Source organism: Homo sapiens, chromosome 3, assembly GCF_000001405.40.
Source record: "Homo sapiens chromosome 3, GRCh38.p14 Primary Assembly".
Classification (NCBI taxonomy): Eukaryota; Metazoa; Chordata; class Mammalia; order Primates; family Hominidae; genus Homo; species Homo sapiens.
Genome location: NC_000003.12, coordinates 156,922,599 through 156,941,519, shown reverse-complemented (window position 1 = coordinate 156,941,519; position 18,921 = coordinate 156,922,599). Strand labels below are relative to the sequence as shown.

At 33.6% G+C, this 18,921-nt stretch overlaps 1 protein-coding gene across 2 annotated transcripts in view; it reads right to left on the bottom strand.

The window, feature by feature from the left end:
* Positions 1-18,921, bottom strand: part of LEKR1 (leucine, glutamate and lysine rich 1) — a 219,777-nt gene that overhangs the window by 104,610 nt on the left and 96,246 nt on the right. Inside the window, exon 5 of one of the 2 annotated variants that reach the window (NM_001004316.3) lies at positions 13,916-14,091. In NM_001004316.3, coding sequence (NP_001004316.2) covers positions 13,916-14,091 — 176 coding nt within the window. Of the gene's footprint in view, positions 1-13,915; positions 14,092-16,263; positions 17,026-18,921 lie in introns of those variants that run through there. The other variant, NM_001193283.2, reaches the window with a different exon arrangement.

Genomic DNA, 18,921 nt, shown 5'->3' with positions numbered 1-18,921 from the left:
CCATGTGGGCCAGTGAAGACCACAAGTAGAGATACATAGGACAGACATGCAGTAGAGGTAATTTGGCCAGCAAATGGTTATAGGAGAAGTAAAGCAGAGAGCTAGAACAGAGCACAGGAAAAAAGAGCATGTTTTAAGGGATCGTGATGAGGAGGATCACGAATGTAGTACAAGGAGAGAAAAGCAAAATGGGGTAGAAAGCATGTCTGGGAGAAAAAGTGGCATTTGTGATAGACCTGGGGAATAAGCACAAGGGGTCTGGCACTTTCTCTATGTTTAGTTTCTGCTCAAAATGGAAAACCTAGAGAAATAAATTGCAGAAACCAAATAAGTGGGATTCTAATATAGTCTAATGATTATTTTATGTGGGATTTTTTTTTCCTCAAAATAGCTATATGCTGCTAAAAACTTATGACTATGCCCCAATTTGTGTGAGGAAAACTACTAACACACAGTACATAAAATTTTTAAAAGAATGGAGTTAAAGAAAATAAGGAGGTTACAGTTTCCCTACGTACCTAAAAAGTCTTTCTGGGTATTTTTGTAGCCAAAAAGGTGGCTTCTTAAGGCTGAATAAACTATAACATACCAAAACGATATCTATGTTTAAGTCAAAATGACACTGCACAGCACCACACACGTGGTGTCACCTATTTATCATATGCCAAAATGACACTGCTCAGGTTAGCAGGCTCTGTTAGCATACACTATACTCTAAAATAACTACTCATGTCAATGTGACTTTCTATCTAACATTTAAAGAATAAAAATCTGCAATACAAATTTATTTGTAAAATATATTCTAAGACATGGAAAAGTACATCAAGATTTCAAAACTAACAGAAGCTATAACATTACTAACATGGAGTTAGGAAAAAGTAAACTCAATGGAGATGAATTAACTTACCTTTTGCAAAATAAACACTCCTTTGCCTATGGCAATCCTGGGTCAAAGATTCAATTCTACCCTTGCCATTATACAATTCCATACTTGTAAGACATGTGTCCCGATTTGGGGTTCAGAAATTAAGATCCCCACAAGGTCAACCTATACTGGTCATTGTATCCACCTTGAACCTTTCCTGTCTCAGCACCATCCCATGAAGAAGGTCCTCCTATCCTCATATATTCAGCTATCATGGCTCAAATGTTACCTCTGTGCAGAAATCTTTTTGGACCTGATCTGGATGTGATCTTCATCTTCCTGGAACTCACAGCAATTTACATCATTTGTATTGCACTGAACACATGCATACATGTGACCTACTATTGGACTATAAGTTATTTCAGGCCATAGATAGTATCTTATTCATTTCTATTTCCCCCATAATTTCTACCATGATGTCTTAGGATTAACAAGAGCTCAATAAATGCCTAATAAATTAGTAAAGGCATTGCTGAGCAAAGCTTCTAAATCGTTTTTAATATACCACTAGTTGAAGATCCTGAATATGTGTTTATCTCAGCCTTCATTTCAGAGGCAGGCATTTTGAGCTCCACATTTTTAAATGTCAGAGTAGGATAGGCAGTTAAAACACATATCCAAAAGAAACATTTTTAATTGAATAAAATAATTGATCAATTCTATCCCTAATTTCATAAATTTTGTGAAAAATGTGGACTACATTTCTAAGCCTAATTCTAGATTTGAATTTTAAAAGTTCAACAACTATTCAGTCAACAGTTGTGTTGGGAGTGGAATTCGCCTGATAAGTATTTTTCCTTGGTAAAAATATTTTTCCCGAAATTTTATTAAAATAAGTATGCTCTTGTTTAAGAAAATTTCATCTATAAAAACTTCATTTTAAAAAATATCAATTACATAAAGTGATATTCATTTGCTAGAATAGGAAATATTTTACTCATACCTGCTACTCAATGTTCAGCATACATTATCAGCAAGAAAATATTAAGCAATTTCCTTTTCTAGGAATGCTGTTTCTGTTTTGGACTTTGATTTTAAAGCCTAACTTAATTTTAACATGCAAATCTTTTAAAGTAACTGAATAATATTGTGCAATATATATGGGGTTTACTACATTTATTAATTTGCTAGGGCTTCTGAAAGAAAGTACCACAGATTGAGTGCTTAAACAACAGAAATTTATTTTCTCACAGCTCCAGAGACTAGAAATCTGAGATCAAGGTGTCAACAGGATTGGTTCCTTCTCCGACAGTGAAGGAAGGATCTGTTCCAGGTCTCTCTCCTTGGCTTGCAGGTGGCTGCCTTTTCCCTGTGTATTCACATGGTGTCCGTAGGTGTCTGTGTACAGATTTCTTCTTCTTATGACACCAGTCAGATTGGATTAGGGGCTACCCTGATGACCTCTTTAAAAACCTTATCTCCAAATATAATTACTGTAGGAGGTACTGGAGATTAGGACTTTAACATTTCAGTATATGAATTTGGGGAGGGGGACACAATTCAGCCCATCACACTATATTTTAGAATATTTGTTATTTAAAATGTTTGTACTATTATCAAAATTTATAGCCAATACATGCTTTTAGCTTTTAGAATAAGTGTTATCACATAATTCACTAGCTAACGCAAGTACAATTATTACTGTTAAGCTTACGCAATCAATTTCTTTACCTTGATAAGTTTTTTTGTTTTGTTATTAGTCCTGTGAGCTTAGGCAAATGAACTCAAAATTATGTTAGGTCATTATATCATTAGGAAACCTCTATAACCTTATTATCAAGGCATTCTGATATTACAAATACAGTGTCATTTTTAATTCACAAAACTTCACAGTTTTATTACAATAATAGGGAAAAAGATGCAGTGACCAGATTTACTAAATAAATAAAAAAAACTACACAATTTATTTTAAACTAAAAATGGCTGGGTGCGGTGGCTCACGCCTGTAATCCCAGCACTTTGGGAGGCCAAGGCAGGTGGATCACCTAAGGTCAGTTCAAGACCAGCCTGGTCAACATGGCAAAACCCTGTCTCTACTAAAAATACAAAAATTAGCCGAGGGTGGTGGCATGCGCCTGTAGTCCCAGCTACTTTGGAGGCTGAGGCAGGAGAATAGCTCGAATCTGGGAGGCAGAGGTTGCAGTGAGTTATCATGCCACTGCACTCCAGCCTGGGCAACAGAGCAAGACTCCATCTCAAAAAACAAAAAGCAAACAAACAAAAAAACATAAAAACTTTTTATTTTGAAATAAGTATAAATTTACAGAAAGTTGCAAAGAAATGTGTAGGGAGTTCCTATTCAAACTTAACACCACCTCACTTCTCCCCTTGTTGACATTTTGTGTAACTGTAGCACACTATCAAAACTAGAAAATTGCATTGGTAAAATCCACAGAACTTACTCCGATTTTACCAATTGTATACACACTCATGTGTGTGTGTGTGTGTGTGTTACAGTTCCATGCAATTCTATCATAAATGTAGCTTCATTACATATCAACACAATCAAAATACAAAATTGCTCTATTACCACAAAGCTGATCCCTGCTATCCCTTTATAGCCAAACCTACCACTATCCCCATCATCCCTAATCCCTGGCTACCACTAATCTGTTATCTACACTTATAATTTTGTTATTTCAAGAATGCTATATAAACAAAATCATATCTTATGTAAACTTTTAAGACTGGCTATTTTCACTCAGCATAATTTAGTTGAGGTTCATTCAAGTTGTTACATATATTAATAATTTGTTCCCTTCTGTTGCTGAACAGTATTACATGATATGGACATAGGACATTTGTCTTTCATCCATTGAAGGACATTTGGGTTGTTTCCAATTTGGGGCTATTATGACTACAGCCGCTATGAACACTTACATACAAGTATTTTTGAGAACACAGATTTTCATTTATCTGGGATAAATGCTCAAGAGTGCAAATGTTGCGTCATGTGGTAAGTGCATCTTCAGTTTCAGAGGAAAATGCAAAATTATTTTCTAGAATGGCTGAACCATTTTATATTCCTACCAGCAGTGCTGAGTAAACTAGTTTCTCTGATCCATGTCAAGACTTAATATGGTCAGTCTTTTCAATTTTAGACATTCTAATAAATGTGTAGTTGTATTTAATTGTGGTTTTGCATTTTGCTCATGGCTAATGATGTTGAACATTTTTTTCATGTACTTATTTGCCATCTATATATCATCTTCGGTTAAATTTCTACTGATATCTTTTGCCTATTTTCTAACTGGATATTTTTAATATAGAATTTTGGGAGTTATTTATATATTCTACATATAAATCCTTTGTTGGATATGTGATTTGCAAGTATTTTCTCCTAGTCTGTACTGTAGCTTTTTATCCTTTTTAACAGGTCTTTCACAGAGCAGAAGTTGTTGTTGTTGTTGTTGTTGTTGTTCTTGCTGTTCTTGTTTTTTTTAGGACAGGGTTTTGCAATGTTGTCCACACTGGAGTGCAGTGGCTGCTCACAGGTATGACCATAGAACACAGCAGCCTCAAACTCCTGGGATTAAGCAGTCCTCCCACCTCAGCGTCCTGAGTAGCTGGGACTACAGGCATGTGCTACTACACTCTGCAAAAGTTCTTAAATTTTACTGAGATCCAAGTTATCAATTTTCCCTTTTAGGTACCATGATTTTAGTTCAAGTTTAAGAACTCTTTGCCTAATCCTAGGCCCCAAAGATTTTTTTCCCTAAAAGTTTCATATTTTCTATTTAAGTCTGCGGTTAATCCACTGAGTTAGTTTTTGTAAAAGTGTGCACTTTAGGACAAGGCACTTTCTCTTTTTCTTTACCTAAGGATATCCAATTGTTCCAGCATCATTTGTTGAAAAGGCTATTCTTCCTCCACTGAATTTCCTGTGTGTCCTTATCAAAAATCAGTTGAGTATATTTTTCTGGTCTAATTATGTAGATTTTTTAAAAACTACATGTGAAAACCCTTTTTGTTACTTTATTTAGGAGAAAAGCTATAAACCCATTACAATGAACCATTCTGCAACAGAAATGAGAAACGAATACGATAGAAAAAACATAGACTTTAGAATAAAAAAGAATAGTTATAGCTAACATATCTTGCTTCCTTATTCTGCTAGGCATACGGGGGGTGTGTGTGTGTGTGTGTGTGTGTGTGTGTGTGTGTGTGTTCTCATTGTACAGATGAGGACACTGAAGCCCCAGTTTTTTGTTAAGTGGCAGAGTCAGGATATAAACTTTGGCTGACTCTAGAGACCTGCTCTTAGAATGCCTATATATCTTTATGTATTAAGAATTGAAGCCAGCAACACAGAGGCCAGTGTGGTTGAGTGCAGACATATTGGTTTGTGCGGCCCTTCTCCAGACCTGGTGGTCAGTCTGTAAAAGGGCAACACTATCAAGGATCCTATGTTACTCTCCAGATTTTTCCTGATTTCTGCCAAGAGTTCTAACATTCCTGACTCTGAATAGTGTTTGTTTAATAAATTTAAGTAAAAGATGAATTAAATAATAAAGACAACTAGAAATACACATTAACAGGTTAGGATTAAGAGTGACTGTAAAGTGTTCCTCAGCTATAATTCACATCGTCCTCATCATTTTTGTGAATATCAAATAAATTATAACATTTACAAATTTTATGTTAAAATGTTCATTTCACTATTTATCCGTACTAGTCATATCCAATAGAAATATGTATAATGCAAACCACACATGTAATTTTAAATTTCCAGTAGCCATATTAAAAATATCAGAACACACAAAATTAATTTTAATAGTGTATTTTATTTCATTCCACATATCCAAAATGTTATTTCAACAAAAGGCTATATCCACATTTCTAGTGCTCAATAGCCCCATGTGGTTGGTGGCTAACCTATGGGAAAGCGAAGGTCTGCATGCTTCTTAGGCTCCCGGTCATCTTTTCATGTAAGTGGGATAGTTCCTCAACTTTTACTAGAATTATCCTTTAAAAACATTACATTCAATTTATTTTTTTCTATACTTAAATTTAAGATATAGATTATTTGCTTAAAATTCTATGCTACAAAATTGGCATGTTTATATAGCTATTAGGATTGCTGTTAAATTTAAAATGTGTTCAAATTGATCAAAGAAACTGTTAAAAAGGCAAGCATCAGCACCTTTAAAGTTTTACACATATTTGCACATGTTTGTACATCCATGCCCTGGAAATTTGATTGCTGTGATAGCACTAAAAAGAAAGTTTTTTAAAAGGCAAAAAAAGCTCTTATAATAACATAGCTTCAGTTTGACACACCCCATCTGTTGTGTTCACCAAGTTCTTGCTTGGGAATTGAATATACTGTCCTCATGTGTGCATTTCCACCTTTGAGCTTCTGTCATCACCACTGTGTAACTTCTAAACAAGGTTCTTGAGCTTCTGAGGCAAAAGTGATATACTATAATGGTAAATATAAAAGTCAAGGGTTGAAAACTAACTCCTATTTCTTCGTGTTTGATAAAATATAAAATGTAACACTTGCAAATGAAAAGCAAAATGGGCATATACTTTGATTCTGCAATTCCACTTCTAGGAATTAACTATGTTAAAGAAAAAAAACAGGATAAAATCCTAAAGATGCATGTATAAAGATGTTCAGTGATGCCTTATTTACAATAGCCAGACTATGATCAACCTACATGTTCATGAATAGAAAATTAGTTAAATAAGATACATACCTATAATAAAATACTGTCAACATAGTTAATTGGCATGACTATATTTTCATGATATATTTTAAGTGTATATGTATGTATATATATATATGCACAGAAAGAAAGTTTAGAAAGCTCTATATCAAAATGTTAACAGCAGTTATCTCTGTGTCATGATATTACAGATGACTTATGTCAATGTTTCTTTTTTTTGCCCCTTTTCTGTATTTTCTATGTTTTTATATTGAGGTTGTTTTATGTTTATGATTCCAACAATCCTTAAAGCCTTTTGAATTTGGGAAAAACTAATTATTAAGTGTTTATATTTTCCTCTTATAAATTCAATAAAAAACTTCCAAACTGAATTTTAAAATCCAATTTGGAATTGTACTACTGATAATAGCCTACATTAAATTTGCCTTTGGTTTTCAAGAAAGTGTAGCTAATGAATGAAGCCTCTGCTCCCTTTCCAGATTACAGAATATGTAAGCGTTACTAAGAAACCTTAGAGAATACTCAGAGGTTCCAAAACCTAATATAAATATTATCAGGAATCTGACTATGAAAATGTGGGTGTACTGTTACTTCCATTTCAATTCCACAAAGTTCACTGAGCACCTACTATGTGACAGGTTCAATTCTCTTAAAACACTAGTAATACAGCACTCAGCAAAACAATCAAAATTCCTGTTTTCACTAAGATTACAACCAGTAGGAGGAGACTGGCAGTAAACACATAAATCAATAAATGAATATTTCTGGTAGTAGTAAATATTATTAAAATTGAAAGAGAAAATCAGGATAGACAAGGACTATAAAGGAAGACAACTTTAACTAGAGCAGTCAGCAAAGATGTTTCTGAGGAGGTGACATTTGAACTGAGACTTTCAATTACAAGAAGGGACAGCTACTTGTTTGGGAGACCCTTAGTCAATTTCACCTGCATAAATCTGAAGGGCCTCCCTCTTTTCACATATTGTACAGTCATGGCCACAGGTCACATTCAGGGAGAACAAAGTGAGTGAAGCTTTCTAAGGGAGGAGGGTTGTTCCTCTACACAAAGGGGATGTCAGTGTCTCCTTGTTTGTTATTTTTCTAAGATTGTGATACACTGCACTATATAACTGATATAACTGTTCCCAGCTATGTGGTTTAATTAACAGTCCTAAAATGGATAGTTGGCTTAAAAGTTTCCTGAAAAAGAAAACATGGATTACAGAAAATATTAATAATGCAACACAAATGTAAACAAAAACATTAGAGCTGATGTCTCTCCAATTCTAGTATGATTGAATTCACAATTATTGATATTATGAGGTAAATATTCTATAAGATGTGACAAGACACTCAAAAATGAGAACATTACCAAGACGACTATTTTACATGTACATTCATATCTTTTATATGAATACCTCATTACAAAGAATAAAATTAAAGAGACTGACAATACTAAGTGTTGGCAAAGATATGCAGCAACTGGAGGTCTCATACACTGCTGGTAAAAATGTGAAAGGAACAACCACTTTGGAAAAGTCTTGGGTAGTTTCTTAAAATGTTGAATATACTCTACTATACAATTCAGCCATTCCACTCCTAGGTATTTACCCAAAAAATAACAAAAACATATATCCAAAAAAAGACATATATGAATGTTTAAATAATGGAAATGATGCATAATATATAGTATATTTACGAAATGAAATATAATTATGTAAAGTATATCTGTATTATTAACTGTGGCAGAAGCAAGATTCCTCTGGCACAGATATGCAGATACTGGCAGTTAAAAGTCAGTAGAAGAACACTAAAGGTCCAAAGAATATGACTAGCGACTAGCACACTCTCAGTGTCTGCTCCATTTTTGTTTGTTTGTTTGTTTGTTTGTTTGAGACGGAGTCTCACTCTGTCTCCCAGGCTGGAGTGCAGTGGCATGATCTCTGCTCACTGCAAGCTCTGCCTCCCGGGTTCACGCCATTCTGCTGCCTCAGCCTCCCAAGCTGCTGGGACTACAGGTGCCCGCCACCACGCCTGGCTAATTTTTTGTATTTTTAGTAGAGACAGGTTTTCATCATGTTAGCCAGGATGGTCTCGATCTCCTGACCTCGGGATCCGCCTGCCGCGGCCTCCCAAATTGCCGGGATTACAGGCGTGAGCCACCATGCCCAGCTGCTCCATTTAATAACATAGATACCCTTTTTTTTTTTTTTTTTTGAGACAGAGTCTCACTCTGTCACCCAGGCTGGAGTGCAGTGACATGTTCACTGCAACCTCCACCTCCCAGGTTCAAGCAATTCTCATGCCTCAGCCTCCCAAGTAGCTGGAGTTACAGGTGCGCACCACCACACCTGGCTAATTTTTGTATTTTTAGTAGAGAGAGGGCTTTGCCATGTTGCCCAGGCTGGTCTCAAACTCTTGAGCTCAAGCTATTGACTTGCCTCAGTCTCCCATAGTGCTAGGCATGAGCCACCACACATGGCCTAATATAGATATACTTTTTACATGTTTGTTATAATATTCCTCTATTTGCCTAAATTTAATTATTAAAGTTAAATTTCAAATTTAAAAGCATATTGTCATATAAAAATGCATTTCTGAACGCACATATTACATAACAAAATTGTTAGAAGTGAAATTAAAGTTTCATGGTTTAACATGATTTTTTTCCAATATTTAACTATGAAAGTTTTAAAACATATAGAGAAGTTAAAATTATTGTATACTGGACACAAATATACACATTACTTAGATTCTACAATTAATATTTTACTATATTTTCTTTGTCACATAACTATATACCTGTCAAATACTTTATACATCCATCAATCCATCCTGTGAATATCAAGGTGAGTTACAGACATAAATACACTTCTCTCCTAAACATTTCATCATACAGATAAGAGTTCAACATTTGCATATATTTCTTTTTATTTTTGAGTAAATTTACCTACAGAATTGTACAAATCTCAAGTGCACCAATAGATGAGTGTTGGCAAATGCATCCACTATGTAATAAAAACCCCTATCAAAACATAAAGAATTTCTATCATCAAAGAAAGTGCCTTTGTGCTTTTCCAGTCAATCCTACCCTCCATGGCAAACATTTTTTCCCCAGTGTAGATTAGTTTTGCCTGTTTCTAGAACATCGTATAAATGAAATAATACAATATGTATTATTTGTGTAAGGCTATTTTCAAGTACCATAATATTTTTGAGGATTATCCATGCTACCACATTATCTGCAGTTCATTATATATCCCACTGAATATATTCAATTGTTTTCTTTTAGAGAACCCATTCTACTACTGATGTACTCCTGAGTTTTTTGCAGTTTTAGGATATTTTGAATTAAGCTTGAATAAAGTTGCTGAATATTCTCATATAAGTATCTTGTGGACGTACATTTTCACATTCCTTGGGTAAATACCAAAGGGTGGAATTTCAGGGACTTCGGATAGATGTATATTTAGTTTAATGAGAAACTGTCAGATATTTTCTCTAAGTGGCTGTAGCAATTTACATTCTCACCAATTTGTAAAAGGATTCCAGTACTCTACTTCCTCAGTAACATCTGCTGCCATCAGACTGTTTCATTTTAGTCAAGCAGATGAGCTAATAATGTTGAGAACATTCTTGTGTCTTTATTGGCCATTTATGTATCTTCCTGTGTAAAAGTGTCTGTTCAGATCTTTTGGTCATTTTTGATTGAATACTTTTATTATTGACTTGTAGGCATTCTTTATGTAACTGGGACAACAGTTCTTTGTCACACATTTTGTAAATATTTTCTCTGATTTAACTATTCATTTTCATACTGATAGCTTCTGATGAACAGATGTTTTAATTCTGATAAAGTCTAATTCACCAATTTTCATTCTTTTATAGTTCTTACTTCTATGTCCTATCCATGAAATCTTCATTTACCATCAAGTTATGAAGATATTTTGCTATGTTTCTTCTAGTAGTTTTATAATTTTATCCTTTGCATTTAGGCTTATGATTTATCCTAAATTAATTCTCATGTATGGTGTGAGGCAGAAGTTGAGGTATATTTTTCTACATGGGTATTCAGTCATACCAGCACAATTTGTTGAAAGACTTTCTTTTTCCCATTGGATTGTTTTGGTGCCTTTGTCAGAAGTCAATTGATTATATAAGTAGGGTCATTTACCAGGCTATCTTGTTCTATTCATCTTTGTTGATCCATATGCCAGCACTATACTGATTTGATTACTGTATAAATCTTAGATGATGTTTAAAATGCCATTTTTTGGATTGTTTGAATACTTTTTAAAGAGTTATCTTTTAAATTATGTATTAGCTTTTTAGCTACATGTTTCTGTATTTAATTTTTTAGTAGTTGCTCTAGAAATTATAATATACATACTTAATTTATTGGTTTAAATAAAATATTCTGCCATGTCACATAAAATACAAATATAGTCCAACAAAATGAATCCATTTATCCACCTCTCCATCCTTTAGACTCTAGTTGTCATGTTACATTGACATACTTTATAAGCCCCACAAAATAATAATGCTTGCTTTAAATAAGCATGTGAGTTTTTAAAAAAAAATTTAAAGGAAAAGGAGTCTTTTATATTTACTCATATTTGTCACTTATGGTGCATTTTATTCTTTCCTGAGGATGCTGGGGCTCCATTCATTTTTTTTCAATGTTTATCTCTCTTCTTCAAATTGAATAATTTCTATTGATTTATCTTTAAATTCACTGATTCTTTTTTCTGTAAATGCAATGTGCTATAAAAGTCCATCCAGCCTTATATGTGTGATTAGGACCCATGCATAATTTGGTATGCATCTGAACATTCAGTGCTCCAATTTAACTGGAAAAGCTGTGAAATGCAGTTGTTCTGCCAAACCACACTTCACTCCTTTCATCTTCCTTTCTAGGGAAATATTTTAGTTTGTCAGTTATCATTGAATAACTCGAGGGCTGATTTGTAGATTTTATCCAATGTCAAAAAAGTCAATCTTGCCTTTTTCAAGCCACTTCAAATAACTATGGAAAATATTATCACCTCATAAAGTATATTGTTTTACTCCTAAGCAAGGGTGAGGAATCTGAGTATCATGTGCAAGGCTCAAGATGACGCTTAGAACAGAACATGCAGAGTAAAAATAGTTTCCTTCCATATCCAGGTAATAGAAAGCTGACAATTGTAGTCCTGTCTTTATGGGATGAAAACAGTCCCTTTAACATAAGTTTTCTGAAAGGGAGAACACATAGATAATAACTCTTCTGGTAACATATTATGGTACACTGGCCAGTGTGTTTTCGGCGATTAAACATAATCCCGTGAATCAGATTAATTCACTTGCTGAGTGTTCATTTGCGGCATCCCATTGGAATTTGTGCTAGCAGTTTGAGCACTAGTTCTGTGTGCCTACGAACTTAATGCTGCTATTGTCTCATTCTGACTTCATGGAGAATTAATCCCACCTTTAAGCAAAGTCTACTATGTTAATGGTATTTTCTGTGCAGAAATTAAATTTTATTTTCAGCATTTAGCCCAGGAATTTTTCCAGTAGGTGCTCAGCTATTTAAAAACAAAACTATTCTCAAACATTCATCATTAGACAACTGGAGTTTTTGCTGATTTTGTAACCTACCAAAATGGATAGGCTGTTGAACATTCCACATTCAAAAGTTTTGTAGGGTGGTGGGAAATGGGGGATCTTCAATGTTTATTTTAAAATAAAATAAAATAAGTTCTTGACTTTAAAAAAAAAAAGTCCATCCAGTGAAATTTTATTTCAGACACCATATTTTTCAATTCTTGAATTTCTCATTTTTTAATAGTTGCTTACTCAGATTTTCTTTTTATTCATTACTAGTATATTTTCCTTTATATCCTTGAGCATTGTTATGATAGCTAATTTGAAATCCTGGTTAGCTAATTATATCATCTGAGTCAACTGGTCTCTATTCTTTTGGATATGAGTAATTTTGGATTGTATACTGAACATTGTGGGTGTTATGTTATAGAGACTCTGGATTCTTATTATGTTATTCCAAAGAGTATTTATTTTTTTCTTGTATTATTTTAACAAGAAGTTAATCTGGCTAAACTTAGAGTGTTAAATCTGTTTCTCATAGGGTAGGTGACAGCTAAAATATCAACTACTTTAGTTTCAGATGGACTATTTAGCATCTTCATTGAGCACATGTATTTCAGGGATAAGCCTGAGATTTGGAAAGAGTTTATATGCAAAATTTGAGCTCTCTTTCTCTGGCTTTCACTTCTCTGGGATATCCCCTTACTTCTCAGAGGCTGAGGTTGCCTTGATCTCTATCCTCTAGTCTACAGTTTTCTATCAGATTTTTAGCTTCTTTGCATGGAGCAAACTGTACCTTGCTCTCAGTCCAATATCCTTAAAAAGAAAAAATTCACTCACTGCCATGCATTTTTCAACATTAATAAAAACCTTTAATGGACTATTTTTTAGAACAGTTTTAGGTTCACAGGAAAATTGAGCAGAAAGTACAGAGAATTCCCATATCCCCCTCTCTCCACATATGCAAAAGCTCCCCCACTAGGGACACCCTGTGGGAGAGTAGTACTTGTTACAATTGATGAATCAACATTATTATTACTACCCAAAATTTATAGTTTACATTAGGGTTCAGTCTTCATGTTGTACATTCTATGAACTTTGACAAATGTATAATGACATGTCTCCACTATTGTAGCATTGTACAGATTAGTTTCACTGCCCTAAAAATCTTCTTTGCTCTTCTCATTTATCCTCTGTCTGGAACTCATGGCAACCACTGATTGTTTTACTGTTCCATAGTTTTGTCTTTTCCAGAATGTCATATAGTTGGAATAATATAGTACGTAGCCCTTTCAAATTGGCATCTTTCACTTAGTATGCCTTCTTTTAATTTTTGATACTGCCTCCATTATGTTTTTGCTTTGGGTCACTCTTTATTGTCTTTAGGTAGCTATTTTTCTAGAATTAAAGTTGTTATCTATAAGAAGGCTGACCTAATATGAGCTACTCAGTCATTAAGAGAAGAGGAGTTTTAAAAACATAGATTACTACTTTTAACAGTAATGAACAGACTTCTGGCCACAGTTCAGGATAGATGTATCATAGATTATCTTAGATAAACCTATAATAATTAAATTTCAGAGTTGAAATAGATCTTAATGGTCATCTACTCTAACAAGTGATAACAAAGTTAATCCTAATTCCCATCAAATAAAATGAAATATCATTATTTTATTACTTATGATGTACCATTTACCAAAAAGGGACAATTATATTCTAAATATATGTAACAAACCTGTCAAGGCTGTTTCACTTATAGATTTAATTTGTAGAAAAACTGCTCCTTTCAATGAAGTCCAGTTTTGGTAATTATCATATACTTCATTTTTAATACTGGTTAGTTCCCTTTTAGTAAAAGTAAGTAATGAAAGAGTCTTATTCCAGAAATATTTGTACTCTGACAATCTTTGACTGCAAAGTAAAAAAAAAAAATAGGATTTTAAAAAATAGTAAGCATAACAAACATTTCTTCAAAAATAGTTTTAGAGTGACCATATAATCTAGTGTCTAATTGGAGACAATTTTGAAACCAAAAGAAGGTGGTATTCATATTATGCTGAGACAAAACACAAACTAGGAATATCTCAGATAGAGTGAAGTGTATGGTCACTCTAACTCATTTCCATTTTGCCATTATTTTAACTACAAAGAAAGATAGCTAACTACCTTCATATACATTTGTTCTATTAATCTTTTTTTATTCAACCGTAAACATTTAGTGAAGAAAATTAGGTCAGAGAAATTTAGTCTTAGATCCTAAATGACAATCTTAAAGTCTTATACAGCATTTGTCCCGCATACCATGGTTATATAGGTAGTGAAAAATCTGGGGTAATAATAAATAAAACAATTCAAAGTGACTGATCCAGTGCATTTGCTTCATAAAATCCAACAGCTCAAAGTAATCACATTTTTGTCATCTCAGTGATTTTATTCTGGTTTTAATTATCTTAATAATCAAATAAAATACAGACATAGATTTGAGAGCAGCAAAAAGGTGATGACTGAAGCCATGAGAGTATAATTATTTTGTCAATATTTACATCCCTGAGTAGACTAAGATCTATAAGGCAGAGGTTATATCTATCTTGCTCATCACAGTCTCTCTAGCATCTAGCACAGTGCCTACTGCATAATATGTGCTCAACAAATATTGAATGAAAGAGTAAATAAAATAGATTCCTCCTCAGTTGGAGAAATGGAAAAGTGAGAAGTGCTAGGGATAACACACTGGACAACACAAACATTTAAGGGACTGAAACTAAAAAGAATCCCTCAAAGGAGACTAGGGGGAACTCATCAGTGAGTAAGAAGATAAGCCAAAAGAATAATGTCAGAAAAGCCAGGGGATATGGAAATTTTAAGAAAAATGTAGTGATCAGTGTTTAAGTCTGCAGAAAAAGGCTGAATAGAGTCCATTTTATCTGGGAGGCCTTTGGTAATTAGTAATTAGTAATTTGGTAATCAGTAATGCCACACAAATTCTTAGCATTGTCCAATTTGGGGAAATTCTTATTAAACTTTTCTAATACATAAGATTGTCATTTCAGGTTTTCTTGGAAAGTGATTAAATTGTCTTTGAAACAATGAAACTCATGGGCCAGTTTATCTTAGATGGTCTCCCTGAAGTAGTATATTATGATTTGTATGTTACATTCAGTGATGTTACTCATATTTGTGAAATCAGTGAAAACTTAAATCTTTCTCCAATGTATCTGAATAATTAACTCCCTTTCATTAGATTATCAAATAACCCAAGAACTTTAAAAAATTTATCTTTCTATTAATAAATTTGCTTTGATGTAATCAAAAAAGTTATTACGATTTGCTTCTTTAGGCCACAATAATTTCTATTGCCTAATTTGCTTATAAATGCTTTTATTTGATTAATTTTAAAAATTATATACATCCAAATTAATGTAATTTCTTGCTTGTTTCATTAAAGCATTCTAAAATATCTTACTAAATGGCAATTATAATGGTATACTCCTAAGCCAACTTTCCCTTACTCAGATCCTCCAAATGCCTGTGACTACTCCAATGGTATACTGACAACAGAAGTGAGAATCACAAAAAATTAATAATTAATTTTTTTAAAAAGTGAGAGAGAGGAAAAACCTGAGTAGAAAGAGAATTTTTAACCAAATTACAACCCATTCATCTCGCTTTCACCAGGAGCCCTCCCAGAACCTTGGAAGGAAGTCCTAAGTGAGAGACTCTGAAACTTAAGCATCATCTGGTTCACAATAAATTTGCCTCTATTGGTAACCTTAACATTCTCTGTGAAATAAGAGGCAAGAAAAACAGTTGCTAAGAGATGAATAACACCAAGGAGCCTAAGCAGAATATTGAGGATTCCTCACTAAGGAATTAGTGTTTAACAACCTGGAAGTAGGTATGAAGTCCAAAGGATTTAAGGGTAAATACAACTAAATGAGTAGAGGTAAAAGGACTTGGAGTGTTAGCAAACTCCTCTATGTAGAAAATTCTAAAGAAGACACACACAAACACACACACACACACACACACACACACAAATACTAGAATTAATAAACAAATTCATCAAGGTCACAGGATACATGATACATATACAAAAATCAATTTTATTTCTGTATATTAACAATGACCAATCCCCAAGATAAAATTAACAGTCCCAATTCATAACAACATAAAAAGAATAAAACACTTAGAAATAAATTGTAATAAAAGAAGTTCAAGAAAACAAAACATTTTTGAGAGGGCTAAAGATCTCCATGGAAAAACATACCACATTCATGAATTGAAAGATACAAAAATTTTAAGGTAGAAATTCTCCCCAAATTGATCTATAGATTCAATACTATACCTATCAAAATCCCAGCAGGTTACTTTGCAGAAATTCACAAGCTGATCCTAAAATTCATTATGGAGGGCGCAGAATAGCAAAAACAATTTTGAAAACGAAGAAGGAAGTTAGAGTAATTATATTTCTTGATTTTAAAATTTATTAAAAACTGTAGTACTTAAGAGAGTGTGGCACTGACATAAGACATATAGATTAATGGAATAGAATAGAAAATCCAAAAATAATCCTTTACATTTATGGTGAATTTATTTTAGGCAAAGATGCTGAGGCAATTCAATAAGGAAAAATTGGCCTCTAACAAACAGCACTGGAACAATTGAATATCCACGTGAAACAGGATGAATTTAGATTCTTACCTCATATCATACACAGAAGTTAGCTGAAATAGATCATAGATCTAAAGAAGAGCTAAAACTATAAAACACTTAGAAGAAAATACAGGAGAAAATCCTTCTGACCGGCTTAGACAGAGTTCTTACAGACATCAGCAAAAGCACAATCTATAAAACAGATAAATTATATTTCATTAAAAATAACAAACTTTGCTTTTCAAAAGACATTATTAAGAAAATAAAAAGATAAGCCACTGGGAGAAAATATTTGCAAATCATAGTTCATATAAAGGCCTTATACCCAGAATATAGAAAGAACTCTTACAATCACATAATAAGAAAATAAACCAATTAAAAATTGGCAAAATATTTGAGATGTTTCACTAGTAAGATATACAAATGATTAACAAACAAATGAAAAGATGCTCAACATCATTAGTAACTTGGGAAACACAAATCAAAGCTACAATGAGATACTATTTTACACCCACTAGAATGACTACAACAAAACAGGCAGACAATAGGGAGTGTTGACAAAAACATGGAGAAACTAGAATCCTCATTCATGGTGTGGGAATGTAAAATGTGCAGCCCCTTTGGAAAACAGGTTGGCAGTTAAAAAATTAAATATTGATTGGCAGGGCGCGGTAGCTCACGCCTATAATCCCAGCACTTTGGGAGGCTGAGGTAGGCAGATCATGAGGTCAAGAGATTGAGACCATCCTGGCTAACACGGTGAAATCCCATCTCTACTAAAAATACAAAAAATTAGCCAGGCATGGCGGCGGGCACCTGTAGTCCCAGCTACTCGGGAGGCTGAGGCAGGAGAATGGCGTGAACCTGGGAGGCGGAGGTTGCAGTGAGCCAAGATCATGCCACTGCACTCAAGCCTGGGTGATAGAGCGAGCCTCCGTCTCAAAAAAAAAAAAAATTAAATATACATTAATCATATGACCTAGTGATTCCACACTTAGGTATCTACTCCAAAGAATTGAAAACATATGTCCACACAAAGACTTGTATATGAATGTTTACAGCAGCATTATTCATAAGCACCAACAAGTGGAAACAATCCAAATATCCATCAACTGGTAAATGGATAAATAAAATGTGGTATATCCATACAGTGGAATACTGTTCAGCAATAAAAAGGAACAAAAGTATGGATAAGTGCCACAACATGAGTGAACCTCAAAAACATAATTAGTAAAAGCCAGATGTAAAGACAACATATTGTATGATTCCATATATCTGAAATGTCGAGAAAAGTATAAATCTATAGAAAGAGAAATGTTAGTTGCCTGGTGAGCTGAAGGTGAGCACAGAGATTGATTGAAGATGGCATGAGGGTCTGGAGGGTCTTTTCTGGAATTAGTCAAGTGTTCTAATATTGGATGTGGTTGCCAATCTAATAGCTAACATTTGGTGGCACAACTCTGTAGGTTTATTAAAAATAATTAAATTGTCTCCTTAAGATAGGTGAATTTTGTGGTATGCAAATTATATCTCAATGAGGATGTTTTTAAAAAGATACGGGGTAATAAACTATGGGATCAAGGATAGAAAACAAAGTAAAGCCAAAATATGGTTGGGAAATTAAGAAAAAATATTAGCATCCTTAATTAGACTGAAGAAGCGAAGTGAAACTGAGAGAGCTGCAAGAGAAATTTTTGGAGTTGACATTGAAAATTTTAGAGATGATAAGGTCTAGCTTTACAAATAAGAAAAATTAAAGGATAAGTACTCTTTATTTCAAATAATTTATAAAAGATTCACAATAGTAATCCTCTAAAAGTAAATACTGCTAGAATATTTCAAATATGGTCTGATTTGGAATATTGAACTTAAACACAACTTTGTGAGGTGAAATATATCTATATTTCATTCAGGTTTTTAATATCTATTTTATAGGCCTTCTACAATTAATTTGCATTTTCAAAAGACACTTTATTCTGAGTAGCAGATGTGCTGAGCCAACCAATGTGCCAACTAATATGCTGAGCCCTTGCAAGACACAGGCTGGAAATGATGTCAGGGAAAACACAGATCATGAAAGAATACTTT